Source organism: Homo sapiens, chromosome 11 (assembly GCF_000001405.40).
Source record: "Homo sapiens chromosome 11, GRCh38.p14 Primary Assembly".
Taxonomy (NCBI): Eukaryota; Metazoa; Chordata; class Mammalia; order Primates; family Hominidae; genus Homo; species Homo sapiens.
In genome coordinates, this window is record NC_000011.10 from 62,553,444 (window position 1) to 62,559,481 (window position 6,038).

General features: G+C 52.4%; 9 annotated features.

Annotated features, from left to right (window-relative positions):
- Nucleotides 218–267: a silencer, noted in NCBI's record as "silent region_3416". NCBI's record gives its function as "represses an Ori minimal core promoter by ATAC-STARR-seq in GM12878 lymphoblastoid cells {active_cell/tissue: GM12878}" and the evidence as "EXISTENCE:reporter gene assay evidence [ECO:0000049][PMID:35858748]".
- Nucleotides 2,562–3,367: an enhancer, noted in NCBI's record as "H3K27ac-H3K4me1 hESC enhancer chr11:62323477-62324282 (GRCh37/hg19 assembly coordinates)". NCBI's record gives its function as "activates a minimal SCP1, AML or CMV promoter by ChIP-STARR-seq in naive and primed H9 embryonic stem cells {active_cell/tissue: H9 hESC(naive and primed)}" and the evidence as "EXISTENCE:reporter gene assay evidence [ECO:0000049][PMID:30033119]".
- Nucleotides 2,562–3,399: a biological region, named in NCBI's record as "H3K27ac-H3K4me1 hESC enhancer GRCh37_chr11:62323477-62324282".
- Nucleotides 2,770–2,859: an enhancer, noted in NCBI's record as "active region_4820". NCBI's record gives its function as "activates an Ori minimal core promoter by ATAC-STARR-seq in GM12878 lymphoblastoid cells {active_cell/tissue: GM12878}" and the evidence as "EXISTENCE:reporter gene assay evidence [ECO:0000049][PMID:35858748]".
- Nucleotides 2,870–2,929: an enhancer, noted in NCBI's record as "active region_4821". NCBI's record gives its function as "activates an Ori minimal core promoter by ATAC-STARR-seq in GM12878 lymphoblastoid cells {active_cell/tissue: GM12878}" and the evidence as "EXISTENCE:reporter gene assay evidence [ECO:0000049][PMID:35858748]".
- Nucleotides 3,260–3,399: an enhancer, noted in NCBI's record as "active region_4822". NCBI's record gives its function as "activates an Ori minimal core promoter by ATAC-STARR-seq in GM12878 lymphoblastoid cells {active_cell/tissue: GM12878}" and the evidence as "EXISTENCE:reporter gene assay evidence [ECO:0000049][PMID:35858748]".
- Nucleotides 3,368–4,171: an enhancer, noted in NCBI's record as "H3K27ac-H3K4me1 hESC enhancer chr11:62324283-62325086 (GRCh37/hg19 assembly coordinates)". NCBI's record gives its function as "activates a minimal SCP1, AML or CMV promoter by ChIP-STARR-seq in primed H9 embryonic stem cells {active_cell/tissue: H9 hESC(primed)}" and the evidence as "EXISTENCE:reporter gene assay evidence [ECO:0000049][PMID:30033119]".
- Nucleotides 3,430–3,589: an enhancer, noted in NCBI's record as "active region_4823". NCBI's record gives its function as "activates an Ori minimal core promoter by ATAC-STARR-seq in GM12878 lymphoblastoid cells {active_cell/tissue: GM12878}" and the evidence as "EXISTENCE:reporter gene assay evidence [ECO:0000049][PMID:35858748]".
- Nucleotides 4,404–4,919: an enhancer, noted in NCBI's record as "H3K4me1 hESC enhancer chr11:62325319-62325834 (GRCh37/hg19 assembly coordinates)". NCBI's record gives its function as "activates a minimal SCP1, AML or CMV promoter by ChIP-STARR-seq in primed H9 embryonic stem cells {active_cell/tissue: H9 hESC(primed)}" and the evidence as "EXISTENCE:reporter gene assay evidence [ECO:0000049][PMID:30033119]".

A 6,038-nucleotide genomic window follows, 5' to 3' on the forward strand; every position in this document is an offset into this window, starting at 1 on the left:
GTCCTTTCCAACTTCCTCTGCCTTTCCCCCAGCTTCCTGGGGAAAGAGAGACCAGCCTGGGTTTCCCTCTCTCCTCTGCTTACAGTTCCCTAAGTCCAGTTGAAGGAGATCAGGCTGAGCAGGGAAGGAAGGGCCTAGGCTGCCCAGAGCCTGAGTCACCACATAGTTGAGGTTCCTGTCACTCGAAGTCCCGCCTCTGTTACACTCCGTGCCCTGTGCCCGCCCCAGGACTTGGATCGCTACATCTGACCCTGGCCCCAGGGCTGGCTCCACTTCCACGCTCCTTACCAAGCTACCCTTACCAAGCTACGGGTGCAGGAAGCCTTTAGATGCCTCGCTCTCCCTGCCCCTCCACACTTGGTATGCTGTGTCCACCACCCTTATCCCTCAGCATTTGAGGGCAGCATCCTCCTGCTCAGCTTTGGAGCAGAAGTGACTCAGTGAGTGACTGCAAGGATTGTGGAAAAGCTCGGATGCACCCTTGATAAGTCACTTCAACTCTCTGGGCTCCAGTTTCCCCACTGGTAAAATAACGGGTTATTAGAGACGGTCTCTGGCAGTCCCTGCAAGAGGTACATTCTGTATGTCTGAGTCAAAGAGATGGGTAATTACTATTGAAGAGTGGGATAAAAGGGGCGTGTTTGCTAACCCCTGTCCTAACAGTAAGAGTGGGTAGGGTAGGGCAGGGCTGGGCACAGGACCTGCCACCATAGGGCAGCCAACACCCTAGGCATCTTGGTGACTCAGGTCCCACATGGAAGAAGAGCCGGAAAGCACCCCTTGGGTCCCCTGTGAGTCAGGGGAAATGCGGATCTCCCTGAAGGATGACTGCCTGGGTTCCCGCTATAACCAACTATCCTTCCACCTTGAAAGTCTCCCAGGATGGGTACCGTAAGCTCATCATTCCACCTCCCTGGCCTGCTCAGCAGCTTCCACCCCTCCTGCCTGACCTTGGCAGCCCTTCTTCCCTCAGCCCTGAACTCTAGAGCCCTCCTTACCCTCTGACAGCTCCCCCTGCCCTACCACATTCCCTCCTTCACCCCTTGGCTCTGCCCATCTTCACCATCCACCCCATCCCAGCAGAGCCCGCCAGATGATTGCAAAAGGGCTGAGCCAGCAGAGAGGCCTTCACATGACAGCTGTTCCTGCTGCAGAGGGGAGGGGGCAGCTGGGAGTGGAGGCACATTCCATGGGAGATCCTATCAGAAATAGCCCCAAACCCTAACTGACCATCTGCCCCAATGATCTGCACATCGCCCATTCAATAGGCTTGCCTCAAAATCCTGAGGAAATCAAGAAAACAAAGAGGGGTGGAGAAGGGAGGGGCCTAGGGGAGTGAAGAGAGCCCAGGAACATTGAGACGGGGTCGCCAGGACATCACCACTGAGCCAGTACCACCAGCCCAAGGTATTCTCCCTCTAATGGGAGATGCAACTGATGGCAGTGCTGCCCTCCAGCACCCCCCACCATACCCTACTCCACCCATCCCTTGGGTGCTGAGGCACTGGGACACCCCAGTAATTCCCCTGGAGTAAAACAACAGCCTGCTCTGGGAGCCATGCCAGCCTGACTGGAGCAAACAGACAGGAACAGGTGGCAGTTTCTGTAACCTTTCAGGAGCACCAATGTGAGCTCCACAGCACTAGAGGAAGAGAACGGGGTGGGAACCCCAGAATCACATTCAAACATACAGGAGCAGGCCAGGCACGGTGGCTCACGCCTGTAATCCCAGCACTTTGGGAGGCCAAGGCGGGTGGATTACCTGAGGTCAGGAGTTCGAGTCCAGCCTGGCTAACATGGTGAAACCCCATCTCTGCTAAAAATACAAAAAAAAATTAACAGGCATGGTGGCACACACCTGTAATCCCAGCTACTTGGGAGGCTGAGGTGGGAGAATTGCCTGAGCCCGGGAGACAGAGGCTGCAGTGAGCCGAGATCATGCCACTGCCCCTCCAGCCTGGCCAACAAAGAGAGACTCTGTCTCGAAAAAAAAAAACAAAAACACAGGAACACAGCAAGTGGGGAAAGTCAGTGCCCTGCAGTGCCCTATAGGTACACTGGTTGGAGGAGCTGGGGAAGCTACAGCACCCAGAAAAATCCATTTGATGTGTGGAGGGAAAGTTCTGAGTTGACAACAAAGAGTGCCCGTTGCCATGAAAACCACAGTATTAATTTCAGAAATGACTGGGTGGAGCCTCCAAAGCACTTCATTCCCCTCCCTTCAACATTCTAGGCTTCCCCCACCTTTCAAAAGGGGAAGTGGCACATTTGGGGCATGTGGGCAGCTGGTGGGATGGGTCCGACCCAGTGAGAGCAGCAGCTGTCCAGCTCCAGCTCAAAGCAGGGCACGAAAAAAAGGAAACAATATAAGTCTTTCTTGGAAGAACTTTAAAGGTTTTTAACTTTTTAATAAGTGACTTAAGCAGAAGTGCCAAAAAAGCTAAGATAAATAGCTGCTTATAACCAGTATCTACTGGTTTATCTACAAACTAACCAAGTCTCTCTCAGCCCCTCCCATTCACACTCCAGGCTCTGTAAAGATTTTATCTGAGTCAACTGCAGCCCTGAGCCCCGACCCCTTCTCCAGTTTCTCTCACCCTCCCTCTGTGGAGGTTCTGAGATTTTGCCCAGTAAGTGGATAAAAGAGCCTCCCCCTTCCCTCATTCTACCCTAGTTTTCTAAGATCATGCCCTGCCCTCAGCCCCTGATCCATTCAAACACCCCCTTCCCTTTCTGCTCCTCACCCCAGTCTCTGTGCCATGTGCTGGACCATGGAGTCGGGTCGCCAGCTCTATGTGGTGTTTGGGTGGCATGAGACTCCCTAGCACCAAGAGAAAACTGCCCAGCAACCACAGACATCCACAGGCGCAGGCTCTGATTGGCTGCCCACAGCAAAAGCAAGGAAAAGGAAGGATCCAGCAAGCCATGGAGAGCCCAGCGGGGATGGGAAGGGCAAGAGCCCTTGCTGCAGTGACTCAGGCCTCCCTGGGGCAGGGCGGGGGACAGAAAGAACTCCAGATGTGCTTCCCCTTTCCTGCCTCACATCTGCCGTTAGAAACTTCCACTGTTAACCTCTCCCCTACCCACCACAGCAGAGAAGCCCTTGCATCCCACCCCCATCTAGAGGCCAACGGCCCAGCCTTCCTGGGGCCACAACCCTCTCGTCTTGAGGCTCCTCCTCCTGCTTGTGGGTACTGGCCCTAGCCCAAGTGCAAGCACTGCTTCAAACAACAACCTGGCCACCCTTACTCTGCACCGCGTGGCGAGGGCTGGAGGCAGGATGTGCAGATGACTCACTCTTCCTGCAGGCAGAGGAAGGCTGAGGTAGGGGTCTCTGCCCCAGCGCAGACCACCTAGTCCATGTGGGCTGCCAGGCCCGCTGCTGCCCATGGCCCACCCAGAACCCCCGACCCACTTCACAGTTGGGCTTCCCTCCTGAGCCTTTCAAGCAGCCCTCTAAAACCTAAACTACTCTTCCAACTTGGTCCCTCCTGCCTGAGGCTTCAGCCACAGGAGGTTACGGTAAGCAAACACCAGGAAGGTGGTGAAGGTCCCACAACCACAGAAGGAGGTGTGATTTGAAACAGAATTTGGGAAGAGTCTGACAGCTTCAGTGAGGCCCCAGCAACAAGCTAAAAGGCACGCCCCAAGCCTGCATCTAGCACTTTCAGTTGCAATCATGGCAAGCACTACTAAGGCCTCCAACTCCTGGCCTCAGCCATCCCCCCACCCAAGTAGCCAAGACTACAGGAACATGTCAATGCACCAGCTGCACCTAGCATTTTCAGATCCTAGCTAACAAGAGCTCAGGAGGCTCAGAAGAAAGGTTATCAAGTTTGGACCCAGCTCAAGATGAGCAGCCAGGGAGCAGTCTGAGCAAGCATCAGCCCATCTCCACCCATATGGATTCTAAACCACAACTCTTTTCTGCCCACTCCAACTGCAGGTCAAAGTGCTCAGCTGCAGATGACAGCCCTATCCCCTCCCAACTACCAGCCCATTGTATGTACCTGGTTTCCCCATCCAAGCCAAGAGCCCTCTTCTGTGCCTGGACTAAGAAACAGAATGAAAAAACCACACAGAAAATCATAAGCTGGGGACCAAAGGCAGTCAACCGTTTCTGCATATGCCTCAAAATGTGACTCAATCTAGAGGTTTCCAGTTTCACCTGAGCTGTTAAATTTACAGGAAGATCTTAAATGATCTTCGGAAAAGACAGAAGAGCAAGAAAATCTGAAAAGGATATTAATAAAAATTAAGCTCAAAGGGGAAAAAATAGTAACCTTTGGCCTGAGCAGGATATTAGCTGACAATTACAACTACTCTACCTTCTAGGAGGCAGCAGGGTGTGGACACAGGCTTCAAAGTGACACCCACTGGGCGTGGTGGCTCACGCCTGTAATCCAAACACTTTGGGAGGCCAAGGTGGGCAAATCATGAGGTCAGGAGTTCGAGACCAGCCTGGCCAACATGATAAAACCCCGTCTCTACTGAAAATACAAAAATTAGCTGGGCATGGTGCACGTGCCTGTAATCCCAGCTACTCAGGAGGCTGAGGCAGGAGAACTGCTTGAACCAGAACTCAGGAGGTGGAGGTTGTGGTGAGCCGAGATCACACCATTGCACTCCAGCCTGGGCAACAAGAGTGAAACTGTCTCAAAAAAAAAAAAAAAAGTCACACCCAAGTGAGGCGTGATGGCATGCACCTATAATCCCACCTACTAAGGGGGCTGAGGTGGGAGGATCACTTGAGGCCAGGACTTCAAAACTGTAGCACGATTGGTGGCTCACGCCTGTAATCCCAGCGCTTTGGGAGGCCGAGGTGGGCGGATCACGAGGTCAGGAGATCGAGACCACGGTGAAACCCCGTCTCTACTAAAAATACAAAAAATTAGCCTAGCGCGGTGGCGGGTGCCTGTAGTCCCAGCTACTCAGGAGGCTGAGGCAGGAAAATGGCGTTAACCCGGGAGGCGGAGCTTGCAGTGGAGCCAAGATCGCACCACTGTACTCCATCCTGGGCGACAGAGCGAGACTCCCGTCTCAAAGAAAAAAAAAAACTATAGCACGATTGAGCCTTTGTACAGCCAGCCACTGCACTCCAGCCTTAGCAACATAGCAAGAACCCCAGCTCTCAAATAAATAAAATTTAAAACATTTTCCTGACCCAGTTCTACCAAAAAAATTTTAAATTAAAAAAAAAAAGTGACACCCACTGGGTTCAAAACTCTGCCTCTACCACTTAAAATGTGTGATCACAGTCAAGTTAGTGAAATCTGTAAATCCCTATGCTTCCCGTTAGAAATCAGGGATACCACCACCAGACTGATAACACAGCCAGGAATGGGCCAATGGGCCAGGCCAGTGTCTGTTCTGAGTAGTCTGTGCCTTGTCCTGCAGGTTTGAGGCATTTGAACCACAGCCCTAGGGCAGGCATGGTGATGCATGCCTGCAATCCCACCACTTTGGGAGACCAAGGCGGGACGACCGCTGGAGGTCAGGAGTTTGAGAACAGCCTCGGCAATGTGGCGAAACCCTACCTCTACAAAAAAAAAAAAAAAAACCCACCACGAAAATTAGCCGGGCGTGGTGGTGCACACCTATAGTCCCAGCTACTCAGGAGGCTAAGGTGGGAGGATGGCTTGAGCCTGGGAGACAGAGGTTGAGCTGAGACTGCACCACTACACTCCAGCCTGGGCAACAGAGCCAGACCTTGTCTGAAAAAAAAAAAGAAAAAAAAAGAAAAAGAAACTACAACCCTTGCATATTGTCAGCTACCTACCTCACAGGACAGTTACAGGAAATAATGTAAAGTTCCTTTGCGCTCTGTGAATTATACACGTTAGCTCTTGTTATTAGCAGCTATTCTCTCCCTTCACTGGGAAAGGCCTGGAATCTGATCCCTAAGAATTAGGTAGTCACAAAGCCCCATGTCACTACCCGCCCCAACTGCTTCCGCTCTTTCCCAGCTAGAAGACAGTCATCACCGTAGGAGGCAGGGTAATTAAAATCACAAGTGAACACAGGCCTCTATTTCTGTT